The 20,049-nt window shown below is 36.7% G+C and overlaps 1 protein-coding gene across 2 annotated transcripts in view, besides 1 other annotated feature; it reads left to right on the top strand.

The window, feature by feature from the left end:
* Positions 1 to 20,049, top strand: part of UBL3 (ubiquitin like 3) — an 86,247-nt gene that overhangs the window by 48,157 nt on the left and 18,041 nt on the right. The window contains exon 2 of one of the 2 annotated variants that reach the window (XM_047430394.1): positions 5,550 to 5,673. The exons of the other annotated variant lie outside the window; for it this stretch is intronic. Within the exon in view, the coding sequence (XP_047286350.1) occupies positions 5,671 to 5,673 (3 nt within the window). The 5' untranslated portion in view covers positions 5,550 to 5,670. The remainder of the gene's footprint in view (positions 1 to 5,549; positions 5,674 to 20,049) is intronic. 2 annotated transcript variants of the gene reach the window in all.
* Positions 394 to 443: a silencer, noted in NCBI's record as "silent region_5223". NCBI's record gives its function as "represses an Ori minimal core promoter by ATAC-STARR-seq in GM12878 lymphoblastoid cells {active_cell/tissue: GM12878}" and the evidence as "EXISTENCE:reporter gene assay evidence [ECO:0000049][PMID:35858748]".

Raw genomic sequence — 20,049 nt, 5'->3', positions numbered from 1 at the left:
AGGACCCCTGCTGGGAACTAGCGTGGTCATTTGGAAGAAAGAAGACAGGCTGGCATTTTGGGTTGCCAAAGTTCATGCACTGGTTCTTTCTTCTCTGTGTGGGCTGATGTTCTTTAACTGTGGTGTAACTCGAGTACAGTCAGTTAACTTCTTTTCTGGATGTTTTCAGAAGGCCAAAGCTTTGTGCCTTGTCCTTTTATTTGTGCAGGGTCTTTATTTGTCACTGAGTTCTTGTCCTTGGTTTCACAGCAGGGTGTATTAGCAAAGTATTTTTGGTGTTGAAGTTTAAGCTGTGATCCAGTAGATGGTGCTTAAGCATAATGGCTAGTAGGTAGGCTGTTGCTCCACTGCGTGGCCCCTCTGTATTTCCTCACCACTGCAGCTGTGCTTCCTCTCCCTGCTCTGAAAGTGTGGGCTCCTCTCCCACTTAAGTGGTGGCTGCAAATCTGGCCTTCATACTCCCAGGCTGCACACTGCTGCCCTTGGATGAGCTCAGGCTTCATGTTCCCTTCCCAGTTTGGAGGCAACAGGGGAAGGGACCTTGGCAGTGGCTGTGGCAGAGGGCCTTTCACTTGCCTCTTGGGGCTCCACCCCAGAGAAATGCAGACCCTCTATCAATCAGTGTGTTCGGCCTGGGGTGGGGTGGCTGCATAGTGGGCTCAAGCCAGGGAACCCTGCCTGGTGACGTTGAGCAATGGGGAAAGAGGACTTTGCGGGGAGACAGTCTGGCCTCTTCTTAGGGTGGCTATGACTTGCTAAAGGTATAGTTAAAGCACTCAGGGTCTTCACTCCTTCCCCGGTCCGAGGGCAACAAGGGCAGTACAACTGAAGTGGTAGAGGGGCTTTCAGTTGTCTCTGAGAGCGAAATCAGAGAAATGCTGAGCCGTTGCTAGTGGGAATGTTCAGCCAAGGATTGGGGAGACTGCACTGCTGGCCCAAGCTTGGGGCTCTGCTTGCTGAAAAATGCGGGGGTTGAGGGCTCATAATGAGAAGAAGCTGAGCTCCTCTGTACAATGACTGTCATGCTTTAAGTGTGAATAAAGCTCTCAGGCTCTTCGTTTCTTCTCCAGTCCAAGAGCAGCAGGGGCAGAACCGCTGCTATTGGTTGCCTCTGGGAGCCCCTCCCCAGGGAAACACAGAGTTACTAGCAGTGGGAATGCTTAGCTGGGGGTAGGATGGCTATTCTGTGGTTCTGAGAGCGGGTGTGCCTGTTGAAGAGTGGGGAGTGGGGTCTCACAGAGAAAAGAGACTGGGCTCCTCTCCATAGGGTGGCTGTGGCATGCCAGAGTTGCCATCAGGCCCTCTGTTCCTTCCTCAGCTTGAGGGTGGCAAGGGCAGTACCCCTGCATCTGCAATGGCAGAGGGGCTGTGGGTTGTCTCTGGGATTTTCTCAGAGAAATGCAGAGCTGCCACCCACTGGTGTTCGGGTAGGGGCAGGGTGGATGTGCTGGGGGTCCAGGTTGAGAGGCACCCTGTCCCTACCCGGAGGTGAAAATCCATATGGAAAACAGTCTGGCCCTTTTTCCATAAGGCTGCTGCACCGTGGGGGGGTCCCTGTCAGTCCCCAGCCACTAAGCTGCCTTCTAAGCCTGAGGGCAACAGGAAAGAGGTCTGTTGAGCAGCAAAAATGGCTGTCTGCTCCCTCTGGGAGATCCATCCCAGGGAGGTTCAGAGCTGCTACCAGCCTGAGTGTTTGTTACTTAGGGCAATGTTGCTCCAACGATTTAGCAGACCGGCAGGTAACTATCCTGCCGAAAGGTTGACTTGACTTATTCCATCCATATTTTATAAATTTTTATGGCTGCATAATATTCTTTCAAGTTAGTCTGCCATATTTTTTCTTTTATCTTCTTTTTTTTAGTTGTATTAAAACATTCACACTTTATCATTGTTAGGATTTTAGAAGACAACATTTTTATATGTCATAGCTTTTTTTCTTCTGCCTCTTTTGAATTATTTACATTGAATCAATTTCTAGGAATGGAATCTCAGTTAAAAAGAGGGAATATTTTTTACAGCTTATGATATTAATTGCCAAATGACTTTTCAAACAGGCTTACACTGTTCAAGTGCTCCTCTCTCTCCTCAAATCTGCCTACTCATTGGCCATCAGAACTTACTAACTCATTCAGTCAGGGTTAGGAGGAGAAATAAGAGGCTGAAATTTAAATCCATCAGTCTTGTTACTTTGTTGCTGTCTCGTCATATTTTCAGCAGAGCAAGATGTCAACACTAGCATTTCAAAATATATCTTAAAAATTAAATGTGAAATTCAGTGATTTATTGATTTGAATTGACCGCAGGGTGTTTGCGGAAGTAAAACTTAAATAATCATGAATATAAGCTCGAAAAGGAATTACTGTTCAGCAATTGGATTTTAAAATAAACTTTTGAAACCTTTGGATGTTAGTATAGTCATCCCCCTATTCCCTGCCCTAGTCATCCTAGAAAATTTTATTCTCAGTCCATTGGTTCTGCCATTGCATAAAATACTTTGACTTTTTTGGCTTTTTTTTTTCAATACCCACAATGTGACAAATTTTGTCCTTTGATACTTGGACTTATTTTGAAAATAAGCAAAAATTATTCAAAACAAAGTCTAAAATAAAATGGTGATAAACTGCATGGTATTATTCTAGGCTTAAAAGAAAAAGCCAAATGTGATTTGTAAAATAATAAGGCAAGTTTTGTAAATAAATGCCATGTAGAAGTGAGGTGATGGAGAACAACAGAGGGAAATAACTTCTAAACTAGGTTTCAAAATACTTCCAAAATACAGGATTTGACTCTTTTTTTCCCTTCAATGGCAGCAATTGTGCACATCCAGTCCAAAGGTACCGCTTTGAAGAACCACTCATATGCATGTAAAAAGTTCTATTTTTGTTACAGACTCATAATTTTATAGTCTTAGTGTATGGGAGCAAAGAAAATAATATGTGATCATGTAATTTATTGCATTTAGGTACCTTTTAGACATTTTTACTTAACCATATAACATCTTCAGTTAGTCTTATTTTCAAATGATTTTAAATATCCTATTTGCTGAGTAGTTTAAAATGTGTGAAGTTGTTGTATTGCTCTAGATTTCTCCAAGAATGTGCTCTTGATGGTTTATCACAGTAAAGGTATGAATTAAGTAATACATTACTTAGCCGTGATTCTCAACCAAGGCAATTTTGCCCCCTAGGAGACATTTGGCAATGTCTGCATACTTTTTTTTATTGCCACAACTTTGCCGGGGGCAGGGGGAAGGGGAAGGTGGCAAGGGTGGAATGCCACTGATATCTAGTGGATAGAAGCAAGAGATGATATTATACCTCCTACAATGCACAAAACAGCTCCCCCCACTACCCAAATGAAGAATTTATCTGGTCTAAAATATCAGTTGTGCTGAGGTTGAGAAACCCTATCTTAGCCTAAGATCTTGGGTTCAGAAACAGAGCTGTATTCAGTTTCCCACTTACCTTTGGCAAGATATTTAACCTCATTCAAGCTTCAGTTTCCTTATCTGGAAAATAAAGAGAATAATATCTACCTTATATAAATATCGTTAGCACAATTTCTGAGACCGTGGTAAGCAGGCAACACATACTGTTCTCATTGTTATCACTACCAATAATATCAAGCATGTGAAAAATTACTAAAATTATAACGTTTGATGAGTACTTAAACGCATCTATAGTTTTTTGGGGTTTCTCTTAATTTTGCTCATTTAAGAAGAATTCACATATCCTTTGTGAAATAGCTGTGCTGTTGCAAGTATGACTACTTAGAAGTTTTTGTTTTCCACATATTTTCTAATTACACTTGATTCAGACTACTCTATTCATACTTGTATTATCAAAATAATAAGGCTTAAATGCTGTGAAAAATTTGTAGAATGATTGCACATATTTAGAGGACTCAGTCTTTAGAATAAGGACTGTTAGTAAGCTTATGGACTGTGGCCTCTTCTTTTTTAGAGCTGCATCTACAGTAGTAGCTATGGCTTATTAGAGATCTTGTCTGTGATCATGGTAATTATGGTATTTTTCTCTTTCTTTCTAATGGCCCCCTGAGGATTTTATTGACATACTTTAGGGAGGACAATCAGCTGATTTAGTACTTGTACCATGCCTTCATTAAAGATGTTTAGGGTCGGGCGCGGTGGCTCACACCTGTAATCCCAACACTTTGGGAGGCTGAGGTGGTCGGATCACCTGAGGTCAGGAGTTTGAGACCAGCCTGACCAACATGGTGAAACCCCGTCTCTACTAAAAATACAAAAAATTAGCTGAGCATGGGGATGGGTGCCTGTAATCTAGCTACTCCGGAGGCTGAGGCAGGAGAATCGCTTGAACTCAAGAGGCAGAGGTTGCAGCGAGCCAAGATCGTGTCACTGCACTCTAGCCTGGGCACAACAGAGCAAGACTCAGTCTCCAAAAAAAAAATATATATTTAATATGCCATCAAAAAAAAAAACTACATTGTGAAAAACTGGGTAATGGTGGAAAAGAAAAAGTAGAAGGAAGCAAAGACAGAGGAATAGAGGGCATCATGATTCATGATTCCTCCCCTTGAAGAGTTTATAGTCTAGTTGACATGATATTTAAGTAATCCTCATGGATTTACAGACCTAAATGTTTGGCAGATTTCATGTATTAATAGAAGGAAGGAAGTATTAATAACTGAGCAATGTTAGGAAAAGGACAAACCAGGGACAGCCATTTTCCTTAATTGAATCTTATTAACCCTTACATTTAAGCATAAGACTAACAACAGTTTTAAGACTTAGAACTTACATGATCATATTTATTTTATTTGATCTTTGCAGTAGTCATAAAAGGTAAATCAACACTTACGTAATGTGCCTCCCAAATGCATGTAGGTAATGTATGTAATGTCAAATTAGAGATTTGAAAATGAATTGGTAAAAATGTAATGGCAAAAAAAATGTATTGGGGAATGTCAGTGCAGAATTTGAAGGGTTCTTTCTCCAGCACTATCTTGGCCGGTGTAAATGATTGTATTTCGAGACCTTAAAGAGGATTAGGGGGATTCACCAGAGAACCACATCCTGGTGAAAATATTGTATAGAGACATTAAATTCCTATAATTCTAAGATTCTGTCTGTACCTTCAAATCACATTTTAGTCACTAACTAAGCCTGCTTCTTTGACCATGAACATCATATCTCTTTCACAAGGAAGCAAAGTACCTAGCATTTAATTTTCTTTCTCTTTTTCCTTTTCTGACCTGAAGAAATGTACAGTTTCATTGGGGAGACAAAGACCAACCAGCCAACAGAAAACTGATACTAAAATATGAAGAATAAGAAAAATACATTAAGAATTTTTTTCTTTAGAGCCTGTTTGATAATGTTTTCAATAAATAACTTCTACTAATTTATAAATAATTAATTTATAAATACGTTAACTGCTTATTCCATGCCAGTATAATTGAAAAGTCAGTGGTTAAAGAGACATTTAGACTATGTTCTCTTTATATGACCCACGCTTCCTGCCTTTAAGTTTTTTCCTAAAATCTTCCTGTTATTTTTCTAAATCTAGAATATGAAGCCCTTGAGGAATAGCAGCTGAGTTTAAACAGTACCTAGTGAAAGGCTGAAAGAATCCTCAAACCTTCTAGAAGAATGACCTTAACTGTTGTGATCAGAATGGAGACCAAGTCATGGTAGAGATCCAAGATGAAATCATTTTATCACCTAAAAGATTGTCAGCGTTTTTGATTATAGCCATCTTAGTGGGTTGGAGATAGTATTTCACTGTGGTTTTGATTTTTATTTTCCTAATGACTAAATCATGCTGAGCATCTTTTCATGTGCTTATTGGGCAGTGTCACTTCCAATTTAAAATATGTAATTGAGTAATGATTTTGCTTGGGATTTTTAGGAGAAATGCTTATAAGTTTATTTGTAGTACCATAACATTTATGAGAATTTAAGGTTGACCATTTTTATAAGTTTAGTTTATTAGATTTATAAGAATTATAGGTAATTGGGAAGATTCACCAGCAGTTAGTGGAAATATCTAAAGAAGAAATTGAATCTGTTTAATTTATAATTGCAGTTTAAAATCTAAATAATTGAAAGCCAGTGGTAAGTGATACATTTTGACAGATTTGTAAGTTAAGTAAAAACTTAAAGGTAACTTTAAAAACTGGGACTAATTTTTTGAATTTTTTTTGTAATTTTCATAAATCAAATATTAATTAAAAAATAAAATTAAACTTCTAGATTTTATTTTCTGTGCACAAAAACTACTCCTGGCACAAAAACCACTTCCAAGGGCTCCAAAAGCAGCTCTCATCTTCAGCCTTTTAGCAAATGACTTAATTTTTATCGTCTAATTATTTATATTAGGCCAGCTCTAACATGCTTCTTCCTTTGCGGTAGATCTTTCAAGTTTTATCTTCTGTTCTCTTTTCAGGCTTTCTAATTATAAGAACCGAACAATAGAACTAAGTATTTTAAAATGCCATTAAAAAGAAAAACTTAAAATTCTTCTCCTTATTTAAAAAAAAAAAAGAGAGATCAAAGTCTTCCTCTGCCACCCAGGCTGTAGTGCAGTGACACAGTCATAGCTCGTTGTAGCCTCAAACTTCTGGGCTCCAGTGATCCTCTTACCTCAGCCTTCCAAGTAACTGGGACTGCAGGTGCTTACCACCACACATGGCTCTCTCTCTTTTTTTTTTTTTTTTTTTTTTCTGAGATGAGGCCTTGCTATGTTGCCCAGGCTGGTCTTGAACTCCTGGCCTCAAGTGATCCTCCTGCCTCAGCCTCCCTAGTAGCTGCGATTACAGGCACAAGCTGCCACCTCTCCTTAGGGTTGCAGTGAGAATTAAATAAGTCAATATATAAACACCTAAAAGAGGATCTGGCAAGAGGTATATGGATTAGCAGTTATTAATAGTGTTATTACCTATTAATAATGTTACTAATTGTTAATAATATAACTAATGTTAGTCACTAATGTTACTAATATTATTAATAATGTTACTTACTAAATCCTGACTAGAGGATCTAGTAAGAGTTATATGTATTAGCAGTTATTAATGTTACTACTATGTACTGCATATTAAGTATATATTTTTTATATTATTAGGTTAAATTCTTAGGAGTTCCCTAGGATATTTGCTGCCATATATAGCTCATTTTTTCCCCTTTGGAAAATATAATCCAGGTTACAAACAATGGATTTACAAGTTAAGCCTTTAGGACATAAAAGTTTATAAATCAGCATTGGTTAGGCTCCAGATTATTTAGTATTTGCTAGATTAAATCCAGTAGTAGAGTTATCCCTTGAAGGCATTAGGTCTTATGCACATAAAAGTTTATGTATGAATATATGTGATCAAAATCACTAACTCCATTCATGAGCGAATAGCCTGAGTACTTGAATTTGAAATGAATGTTTGCTGTCTTATCATTTAAGAGTGTCAAGATAAGAATGTTTTGGCTACAATTTGTAATAATTGTAAGTCTCTTTGAGTAGAATTCTGCCTTTGTTATTTTATAGTCTTTATGCATGCATTTAATTCTTCCCTGTACCTGCTGCAAGAAAAATGTACTCAAATGCATAGCCAATTTCATGATTTCAGAAGCACATATTGAAGTGTACCTGCTAATTTCTGTTGCTTTTGCAGGTCTTGAATATTTAAGCATTGATATGATAAGTGCCTGATAAATACATTTTGCATGGATAAATTAATATACAGGATTAACTAGAGCAAGATACATCGGAGAAAGGGCACCCAGTGCCCAGGAAGACCCATTAGTAGATTACTTACCTAGTCATAAGAGTCTAAACTAGGATGCTGACAGGTGAATGGAGGAAAAATAAAAGATAAACACTGCAGAAGAAAAATTAATAAAACCTGGTGACTGCGTAGCTCTATAAAAATAGTTGTGATTAAAATACAATTTAAAATCATATCTGCTACCAGCCATGTTCTTTATATCTTCTTCTAACTTCTAGGATCATTATTATTCTCTAAATTCAGTTAACCTATACCTGGGTACTTAGTTTTCACCTAACAAACATAACTAAAGTAGGTCAGAAAAGGTCAACATGCATATAGGTAGGGGTGCGTGTGTGTGTGTGTGTGTGTAGTGTTAGTAAAGATTCCCTCTTATTAATGTTGAATTGCTATTGAAGAAAAGTGAGAAAGTAATTTTATTCCTTAAGAAAGCAGCTTTTATGGCATAGTCATGCTTTCTAAAACTTTTAAGATAAAGTAAGGATAATACCTTCAGTATTGGTAAGTGTTCAAACATTAACATCTTGACTATTCTGAAAATAAGATAATATCTAATAGGCCAGGTGCAGTGGCTCACACTTGTAATCCCAGCACTTCGGGAGGGTGAGGCGAGTGGATCTCTTGAGGCCAGGAGTTTAAGACCAGCCTGGCCAACGTGGCGAAACCTTATCTCTACTAAAAACCTAAAAAATTAACTGGGCGTGGTGTCACACACCTGTAATCCCAGCTACTTGGGAGGCTGAGGCAGGAAAATCTCTTGAACCTGGGGGGTGGAGGTTGCAGTGAGCCAAGATTGTGCCACTGCATTCTAGCCTGGGCGACAAAGCAAGATTCTGTCTCAAAAAAAGGAAAAGAAAAGCCAATAGAAGAAATGAAAGTGTTAGTAACACTTAGTAACACACATTGGTTCTTGTAATGAGAGGTCCAGAGACTAATTTAAATCTTTTCCAGACTTTGTATCCGTTTTATGGTGTTAGTTACTCTGAGTTATCATTGATATATGGTAGCAACTTCTGGCATCCCTCACATATTCTTGAGGATTGTAGGTGTAGATAATTGTAGATAATAGAAGTGAGTATAGGCTATATCATTGATTAAAAATAGAATATTTGAGTAATTTATAAAGAGGAAATTTAGAATATTAAAGTAATAAGAAGAAAACTAAAATAAATAAATAGAACATTGCTAAGTAAATAGTTCACGTCAAAGGGTTGCCATACCTATACCAATTTATTTGGAATTCTATCTTGTCTTTTATAACCTTAGATAATTCTTTAAAAACTCTGAGCCTGTTTCTAAATTTGCAAAAAATATGTGATATTTTCTAGCTCAGTGCCAGGGATCCATTAGTTCTTGAATTGTGTCTCTAACAATGATGCATTCTGGTCTTTTCATGTCCATGGCTTTGGATAATTGTCTAATCTGCATATACCAATCTTTCCTATTTATGAATATTATTTCTGCTGTCTGTTAGTCGTTGACTTTTCCCCAGGAGTTTATCTGTTCTTTTCCTTAGCTGTTTCTTTTTAAAATTTTTCCTTTCAATTTTAATTTGCGCTTTACTATTCTATAGTTCTCTTCTTTATTTCCCCTCTTTGAAGCCATCTGCTGCCATTTGTTTTGCTTTCTGTATTGTAATACGAAGTGTTTTGATGCTGCTAGATTTATATTCTCTAACAATGAGTTTATGAGCATTCTGCTTTTTAAAACAAACATAGTGTGATGCCTTTACCTCTAATAAATAGCACTTAATGATTATGTTAATTAGCATTCTTAGCTTAGAAAGTATGCACAGATGCAGAATTTTGTGCTGTATTTTATATTATGTAGTGACAGGGATGTATTTGTCACTTTTGCTTGTCGTTTTTCCTGCTTGTTATGCAAAGCTGCCCTGCTGAATAATTTGTCATACCAATTCTAAGTAAATTGATAAATTATGTATTAGCATTTTAAAATTTAATTAATAACTATTAATAAAACACCATTGTATTCAAGTAAGAATTCATGAGTATTCCAGAGACATCTATGTATAAATAAGAACTTCAATATTAAGAGCACGTGAGATCATGGCTTTCTGGGGCACCACTAAGTGACAGTGTCACTAGTCACAGGTTGATGCAAATTGTCTGAGCTGAATAGGACTGCAAAGCAGAGGCAGTGTGAAACAATCGTTTTCTTCATAGACAGACAGACTGTATTCTTTTAAACAGGAGAGCTTGCTATCACTTTTGAATAATAAGTTAACTGACAACATACTGTAAAGAATAGGATGATTTATTTATTTATTTATTTTTATTTTTTTCCCTCTTTAGAGAAATTGGTTTTTATTATCACTGTGGTCTGTTCCAGAGCTTGTATTCCAAAATAGTTGTGGGAAATAGTCTGTTATCACTCAACTGTGTATAACGGTAAAAAATATTAGAAAACATTTTTTCTTGGTAATTATTGGTAGATCCACTTGGTGGTTATACACGAAGTGTCCAGTTACATGTATATCTTTGAAATATTTTAGTAATGTTGGCTATAGTTTGGCACACATACTCTAGTACATTATTCATTCATCCTTTCAAAGTATTAAATACCTACTTTTTTCAAGCACTGTGACTGAGGTTGACTATATGAATTAACTTGAATTATTTTTCCTTTTTTGATTTAAAAGCAGGATTTAATCGAGAAACAAAACACAACCAATGGAACCTCATGTCCACAATTGTTCTGTAGCCACATACGCATAATAAATGTGCCTGGTGTAAGAGAAATAAGACCAGTTTAAGTTTTCAGATTGATTTTCTACCTTCAAGGACCATGATTTAATTGGGGGAGTTGGTAGGATATGGACATAAATGGTTTCTTGCTACAATAACAGATGTGATATATGTAGGATGACCTTATAATTTATTGTCTAAATTGAGGTACTTTTGAGAGTGAAAGGGGGCATAGTAATAGTGAGACAGCAAACATGAGTCAGAATTGTCCTAGGCAAGCATGGACCCTATGGTGACAGTGATTGGATATGCCAGTGATTGGATGGAAACTCTGAGGAAGGAAGGAGTAGTGTAGGTTTGAGTGGTCACTTAGGCTTCAAAGGTGACCTCAGAACCGAACAAGAACAATCAGAAAGTCATTCTGGTGATTCTTGCCAGGATAGGATTTATAATGAATATATTGCTTTGGCTGAAATAGGAATTTGGATAGGGAATTAGCAGTAGTTGGACTGAAGAGTTTGGATTGTAAATATTTGATCTTAAGAGTTACTTAACCTTAGTGTCCCAGTTTACCATCTATAAAACGGAGATAACAGTACCTGTCTTATAGGGTCCTATGATGTTCAACTGTGTACCTCATAGAAAGTACTGTGCAGCACTTGTAAGTGATTAGTAAATGTTAGCTGTCTAGAACACCCTGACAGAATTTTAAACTTTTAAGAATGTTTTTGAGAGTACAGGATGGATTGGGCTGAGAAACTGACAGAGAGAATTTGAAAGAATTAGTAATTGGGTAAGGGCAAGTGAGAAAAAAGGGCAGGAGTAAATGATGACTGAGCTTTCATGCCTAAAGGACTGAGAGACCAGGAGAATTCAGCAGAAATAAATAAGTCAGGAAAGATATCTGTTGTTAAGAAATAAGTTCAGTTTTAAACATATCAAATTTGAGGGGACAGTAAGCTATCTACCCGATCAGAAATGGACAGCTAGCAGACGGAGAAATGAAAATGGCGCTTCATGGATAATTAGTTTGGGAATATTCCAAATGGGTGACAGTGGAAGCCTTGGGAGTGAATGAGATCTCTCAAGGATGGAGCAGGGACTGGGAGAGAGACTGATGAGGGAACCTTGGAAAAACCCATATTTGGATTATAAAAGGAAGAAAAACCAACTGAAAGAGAGGATCAAAGGATTAAACAAGCAGGAATAGTCTTCCCGAAGGATGTTTAACCAAACACTAGTTCTGTGGGGTGGGTAACAGGTAATATGGGAAAGAAAATTGGTTCTGTAGTTAAATACTCATTCACTGCAAGAATTCTGTGCCCTTTTAATATGTTAACATGCATGACACATCTCCAAGAAGGAAACATATAAAGTAGTGTTTTGTAGATTTACCTGACGTCAGAACCCCTTTCTCCCCAGAATACCTCTTGGGGGTTGGTGTTCCAGAAAACATAACTTTGGGAATTATAGGAACCTAATGAGGAAAGACGTTTAAGAAGTAAGGAGTTAAATTGTGTGGAATGTTACAGAGACTAAGGAAGATGACAAATGAGAAGAAGGTTTTTGATGTTTTCATTAGATGGTCATAAGTAACCTTTAGGAGCACAGTTCAGTAGCATGGCTTCAATAGACACAGGTTTAAAAGGAATGAAAGATAAAGAGTTAGTGATAAAGAAATTAGAGCATTGGATTTATGTAATTTTACCTCTATTCAAGTCTAAAGTGTGACTGATAAGAATGAATTGGTCATTATTGAATGTTTATGTGTCCTATGTATATTATTATATTCCTAAATAACGTTCTCTTTTTACTTAATGATTTTCAGATATTAGTGAGGAACTTTAACAGTCATCTAGAACAATACCTCTGAGGACCATTAGTTTCCTTTTCATAGGGTGAAGTCATACATTAAAATGATCTTATTTTCTAGCCATGGCATCAAGCATTAAACCATTTCCCCATGTTTTCTTAAAAGTATGGGGAAAGATGCACCTTTTTAAATTCTGTGTTTTTACAGTGTCCATCTTATGTGAATTTTATTCTAATATTAAAGACCATCTCTGGGTATATTCTGCTCTTTCATGCAACAGTGATACAAATATTTAATTGATAGTTATGCTATAAAAGGGGGAGTCATTCTTACATTCCCCCGAACAATAAGTAGATTATTTTAATATCAGCTATTTTAACATTTTTAAAGGTAACAATGCTATGTCATAGGACTTCTGACTGACTTTCCATTACAAGTAAAATTTTGTTTCTACATCAATACATTATGCCCAACATATTTGAAAAAAAGCAAATAAACTTGAATTTCAGTGACCTGGTTGTGTTAGCCCCATTGCCTGCTGAGGTGGCTGAATGCCTTACAGCAAACCCAGAGTACTGTAGAGCTAGCAACTGTGTTTGATCATCTCTGTATTTTCTGGCGCATCTAGCCTAGTGCCTTTTTAACACACATTTGTGTGTTCAGTCTTTTGAAGAATCAGCTGAAAGTAGAACAATCTTGAACACACTAATAATACAGGTATAGCTCTCCTCCCTCTTAGAGATTTTGGCATATGAAAGATTCTGAATTTTGCAGTGAAGAAACTTACTTGAATTGAAATTTTCTTTTATATTTTTAAATTGTGATAAAATACATATAACATAAAGTGTACCATCTTAACCATTTTAAAGTGTGCAATTCAGTGGTATTTTACATTTGTGAAGTTTTGCTACCATCACCACAATCTGTCTCCAGAACTCTTTTCATTTTGCAAAACTGAAACTCTATGCCCATTAAACAATAATTCCCGCCGGGCGTGGTGGCTCACACCTGTAATCCCAGCACTTTGGGAGGACGAGGCTGGTGGATCACCTGAGGTCGAAAGTTTGAAACTAGCCTGACCAACATGGTGAAATCCCATCTCTACTAAAAATGCAAAATTAGCTGGGTGTGGTGGTGCATGCCTGTAATCCCAGCCACTTGAGAGGCTGAGGCAGGAAAATCTCTTGAGCCCAGGAGGTGGAGGTTGCGGTGAGCCGAGATTGCGCCGTTACACTCCAGCCTGGGCAACAAGAGCAAAACTCCGTCTCAAACACACACACACACGCACACACGTGCGCGTGCGCGCGCGCGCGCACACACACACACACACACACACACACACACACTTCCCCATTAAGCCCTACCTCCATTCCCTGGCAACTGCATTGTTTGAATTTTTTAACCCATTTCCAAACTTATTTCACAGTAATTAAGAATTCTTTTTTTCTTAGCATCTACTTATATTCCCTAGAAGTTCCATGGGTCAGAGAAATGCAGGATTAGTTTTCAGTTAGTATATAGCAGATTAATTAAGGAGTATTTTGTCTCAAAAGTTGTGTAAATCCTAAGAGAAAACAAGCTTTTCTGGAGAGGCTATTCGAATAAGATAGAAATCAAATATTTAGAAAGAAATAGGAGGAGTCTTGAGAGGGTGTTTTGGGGTGGCATCGAAGTATGCTGGAACAAGTCCTGACCTAGGAAGAAGAAAACCCAGGTTCTAGCCAGCCTCTCAGGGCATCTCTGTCCTTGTCTTTTCCTTATCTATGAACTGGATGAATTCTGAGACTCCTAGTTTTAAAAATTGTTCTGTGTTGAATGATTGAGGAATATTGTGAAAGGCATAGAATTTAAAGTAGTACTGAGAATTTGATAATAGCATAGAATAAGTAGGAGAGAGGGAATCTGGGAATTGACACAACAAAGGAGCAGACATCTCAAAGGGGATATTGTGGAAGGCTCAAATAATGGTAAGGCTAAGACAAATAAGTGTAGACATAAAAGATTTATCCTGTATCATACCTGGATTTATTGGAGTAACTAGATGGTTAGAGAGAAGAGAAAGTACTATATAGTAGGTTCTGGAAATGTGCCTTGCGCTAGAACTATTCAAAAGAAAACGGGTGCCTAGTTGATCTTCAGTAAATACTGGTTAATTTCAGGCTGTCTTATCCAAAAAACTTCCACCATCATGCCGTCACTAATGGGAGGTGGACAGAGGAAATAGAATTGTCATCTTCCTGAAATACATGAAACTCCATCATGAATATATACTACTCTAACCCTCCCTGCTGTCCTCTCTAGTGCTTTGCCTTTACCATTTCCCTTTCTCCTTTCTTAGTTTAGTATCTTCAGCATTTGGGTGACAGAAACAATTGTACTAAACAGCTGTTCTTAATTTAATGAGCCATGTGACCTAAAGATACTCCCCAAAACAAAGATTTCTCTAGAAATCAATCCAGTGCCCTAGAGAAAGTACTTTTGAATTCATTCAAATTTGTTATTTAAGTTAATAGTATGTATAGAAAACCAAAGGGCTACCATTGCACATTGAAATCCGGTTAAAGCTGTTACCTTGTATCCTAGATGCAAGGGATATCCTACAGTCAGGTTTTAAAGTGATACCATAATTTAATTTCAGAATCAATATGTTCTGTAAGCTTACAGGATTTTGAACTTGCAAAAAAAGTAATTTTAACAATAATTTGCAAGAATTCTCAATAAAACATACTGTCAGTCTTCTCATGGAATTTTAATTTTATCAAAGTTTCCCAAACTGAAAGTAAATGTACATTTTAAAGTACTAAAGGAAAGAGCATTATATAGTTAGCGTTATGTGATTTACTAAACTGATGATGGATATAATGATGATAATTTGTGATAATATCTAACTATTAGGGACTTACGTGCTGGGCACTAAATGCTTTATGAATTGTGAGTTTTATATTTTGATTCTGAAATGTATTTATAAGAACCCAAAGTTTTCTTTGTTTCTTCACTGATGAAGAAAAAAAAAACAGTTTACATAGAAAGCAAGGAGGCTAATTAACTATTCCTGTTCATTCATCTCTATAGCCCAACAGCTTTTTGTTCATGTTGAGTGTTCCCCCAAAAATATTTTAGCTAATAAGTAGTTGAATGGTTTCTATAATTCAAAAATTATTAAATGTTGCTTTGGAATGTAGTTTTCCACCTACATTTTAAAATGAGTCAAAATATTCTGCAAGTTCACATTCCAAGTAAATGATATGTTGTAAAAGTTTTATTTGGGAACTTAAGCTAGAGGACTCTCTGACCTCTCTTATCTACCTCATAGGGTAGGTAAATGTTTCCACAAGTAAAAACAGGAATCTCACTGAGTGTTCTACCTATAAGGATTTGATATTAACATTTAATAAATATTAGAATCTACATCATAACTAAATGCTAAACAGAATATAGAAAAAGATCCCGTAGCTTCTTCCATCCATTTAGCATATCTAAATGTACCCTAGTTTACAACTTCATGCCTTAGTCTACTGAATACAAGTAAATTCATAGTTAGGAATTCAGATGTATTATAGGTTAAAATCTGTTTTCACAGATGGCTTAAATTACTTCTTCGCAAATATGATTGCTGCCCCATTTCGGTGGGGGAGAGAAATCCTTTCTTGACTTCTCCAGTTCTATTTTGAAATTCTTTTTCTACTCTTTTTTTCAAAAAATGGGTCATTATTTCATCCAGGATGATTAGATGGCCAAAGGATTTTTTAATGCCATTCCCTCTCAGACATCTATAAGCTAGAATGTGTGAATCGGGGTAGAGGGTGAGGAGTGCAAAGCATTCTAGGCAGAAGGAAAAACCTGTGTAAAGGCCTTGGGGCAAGTAAGAAATTAACAGTTTTGACTGAAAGACCCCTGTGGTTGGAGCCTAGTGAGGGGAAGAGTGGTGGAGATGATGCTGGAGAATAAGCAGGTCCATATAGGGACCATGGTACAGAGTTGCTGAGTCAGTTGGTCTTTAGTAGAGTGATATGGTAGCTAGGTGCTGTGGGCTCAGATGCACCTGGGCTCAAATCACAGCTTATCTGCTTACTAGAGTCTCTAAACTCTGTCCCACAACTCTAGAATGGGAGAGTAATACCTTTTTCAGAGATGGGCTAGGTAGAATAACCAAGTGCAGTACCTGAAATATACTACACCACTCAATAAATGGCAAGCTATTATTTTTACTTTTTATAACTCACTGTTCCACACCCTACTCAGGAATCTCAGACCCACTGCTGCTTCCTTTTTATTATTTTTAAAATTCGTCCAGCAAATATTTATCAAGCACTTACAATTACATATCCTAACTATCCCTCCCTCCTGTAGTTATCTGTTTGTATGTCTCTCATAGCTTCAAGGTTATGAGATCCTCAAGGAGTTTCATATTAACCTTTTGCAATCCAGGTACCAAGCAGTGTCTGTTTTAGAAAATGTTTGAATAAATGAATAAAAGAAAGTTTATGAAATACGTAATTACCATATTTTAGCGCTGCAATTGTTTGAATAATTTTTATTTTAAATCAGTCTTACATAGGAAAATGAATATATCGCTTCCTCATTCTTTGTTTCTTTTACAGTACAGTTAGCAAAAATTCAAAATATGCCCTTTATAAATTCATAACTCTAGAAAATGTTTATTTTAAAATTTACATATTAAAATAAGTCACTGATAGGTTTATATCTTCTAGATCAAGTAGCTGTTTTAATATGATGTTATTTTTTAAAAACTATTCATTTTCAAATGTCAATAAGAAAAATAACCAGAGACCGACATAAACACCAAATTATAAAAAGTTGAGCACTTAAAAAAAATCTTTTTAAGACAATTATAAATTAACCATGCAGTTTTCAGAAATAATACAGAGAAATCCCCAACACTGTTCACCCAGTTTTCCCTAATGGTAACATCTTACATAATCACAGTGCAGTATCACAACAAGAAATTGATAATGATAGGCCAGGCATGGAGGCTCATGCCTGTAATTCTAGCACTTTGGGAGGCTGAGGCAGGTGGATCACCTGAGGTCAGGAGTTCAAGACCAGCCTGGTCAATATGGTGAAACCCCATCTCTACTAAAAATACAAAAATTAGCCGGGCATGGTGGCGTGCACCTGTAGTCCCAGCTACTTGGGAAGCTGAGGCAGAAGAATTGCCTGAACCCGGGAGCCGGAGGTTGCGGCGAGCCGAGATCCCGCCACTGCACTCCAGCCTGGGTGACAGAGTGAGACTCCGTCTCAAAAGAAATTGGTAATGATAAAATTCACAGACTTTATTAATATTTGTCCAGTTTTATATGCATTTATTTGTGTGTGTGTGTGTGCATGTGTGTATGTGTTTAGTTCTATGCAGTTTTATCACAAATAGATTCCTGTACCAACTACTACAGCCAAGATACAGGACAGTTCCATCACAAGGATTCTTTGTGCTACCCTTTTATAGGCAAAGTAACCCTTCCTGTCTCCCCTTCCAGCTGGCCATTCTCCATCTCTATAATTTTGTCATTTCAAGAATATTGTATAAGTGGGATCATATAGTATGTTACCTTTTAAGCATAATTCCCTTGATATAAGTCGGGAGTTGTTTTTTTTTTTTTCCAAAGATTTGCAAAAAGGGTCTAATACCTTTCCCACTGGCTACCTGCTGCTTGTTGCCATTTAGCAAAGAAGGCAGGAATGAGCAGTAGAAAGGCAAAGGGTGCTTCTGTTGATGGTTTTCCCTAAGGAAGACTGGCATGTGAAGTAAGAGTATCCCAATACTCATTTTATTCTTAAGAGATTCTCAGAGGAGAAGTGGGAATTCTTTTTCTGATCAACGTATTTGTCTTTTGGTAGAAAACAGCCTTTTTAAAGGGCATGGTCCATCTCTGTAATTATATTTTATATCCAAAGACCATTCTAGTCAGTTCCATCTTCCATCCTCCCTCTTTCTTTCCCGTCATTTTTTTCCATCCTGACCAACTAAAAACATATTATTTTATAAACTAAGTTCTATATGTAATTTCCCCAAATTGATACTATCTAACAAATAGAAATGGCAGTTTGACTAAAAATGGTTCTAACTTGAAATTACATGCATTGAAGAGTTCTTGTTGTATCCATTGGCCTTACAGGAAATCATCATGGTAGTTCTGCCTCACTAATAGTCTTGTCTGATTTGTTTTGTCTCAAAAGTAAATATAAAAAATATATAATTCATTTGAATGATCTAAATGCCATCTCTTAGGAACTTTACTACATAATAGCTCTCATACCAAGTCAGAGTCCTTATTACCAGTTTTCTTTTAGACAGGTATGTACACAAAGTATATAACATTTTAAGCTGTAAATAAGTCTTATTTTTAACCCATTATTGATGTGTCAAGGATCCCATTACCCTACAAGCAGAGGTTTTTAAATGTATTTTATACTTAGACTTAGCTTGGCTTCAAAGAAGTAAAAAGGCCTTTCACTAATAAATATTTAAGTAATAAGTACTTAATATTTTAAAGGAACAAGCTCACATTTATAGAAATTGTCATACATTTACTGAGAGGAGCTACAATTAACATTATTTATCTGAATAAGCCCTGGAAGATTCTTATTATAGCATAGGAACAATTAACTAATAACCAGCCCGGTATCCAGTTATCTGCGTGATTGCTTTCAAGATTTCTTCTAAAGGAAATTATGGGAATCCAGTGTTTTTCTCCATCTTTCTTACAGTCCTAAGGTATACTTGACAAGCATACTGAGGCAGATTCATGGCTCTAGTCTAGTAGCAAGCTTGTCTCATAGATATAAGCATAGGCCCAATTAAGACCAATCTGTTAATTGTCTATATCTATTAACCTAGTCCGTTTGAAAAGTAGACCCAAATGTATACGTTAATACGGTAACTTAGAATTAATTTTACTTTTCAAAATACCTGACTAAATGATAGCATTTATGTTAACTCTGGCATGTTGCTGACAGTAAAGATCCAGAGCCCAAAACAAATTAAAGATTGAGGTGTTCACGCATTTGAACTATCTGCATGACCACAGCACTACCAAGAAACAATTATTATCCATTCCTGTTCTACATACTATGCCACTCATTCAATACAATGCCAGAATGCTGAAGCCTAGGTTTGAATCAGCTCTGACCTTTCTAGTCTGCACTTTCAGTTGCATCTTAAAACTGAAAAAACAGAAATATTAGTCAACAGTTACTGGCTGAGCACCTACTACTATGTGCCAAACACTGATCCAGGCACTGGATGTTTCAGGCAAGAGTTACTTTACTCAGCAGTGCAGTGCTGTGGGTTTATTGTTGCTCTTTTCAATTTTGGACATAAGCTTCTTTCCTGAAGCAGTTTTGCTATAAGACTTGATAAATTTTTAGACTTATGTATTTACACAGTTACTGTTGCAGTTGTCATTTTCTCCCCCTTCCCCACCCAGAAGGGTGATTAGGTTTCCTCTGAGTAGAAGATTTTAAAATCTTAACCTGCTTTTTGTTCTCATTTTATACTTCCAAACTACTTTCAAACTCTACTGTGAGTTAACAAACTCAAATGTTTTCTGGAACTAGGCAGTTTCCTGAGTGTCTGAAGCAGGCCAGGGGGAGTAAGGAGGGAGTAGTAGGGTCTGTGTCAAACCGAAGATTCATACCCACCTATAAACATTAAAATAATATTTTTTAAATTTGGTTCAAACATATTTAGAGGCTATGAGTTTCCAACATTCTGAACATCTAGATAAATATGAACTCTTTAGACCATTGATTTTT

Source organism: Homo sapiens, chromosome 13 (assembly GCF_000001405.40).
Source record: "Homo sapiens chromosome 13, GRCh38.p14 Primary Assembly".
In the NCBI taxonomy this organism is placed as follows: Eukaryota; Metazoa; Chordata; class Mammalia; order Primates; family Hominidae; genus Homo; species Homo sapiens.
Note: the sequence above shows the minus strand (reverse complement) of the source record. Positions and strands in the feature narration are given on the sequence as shown.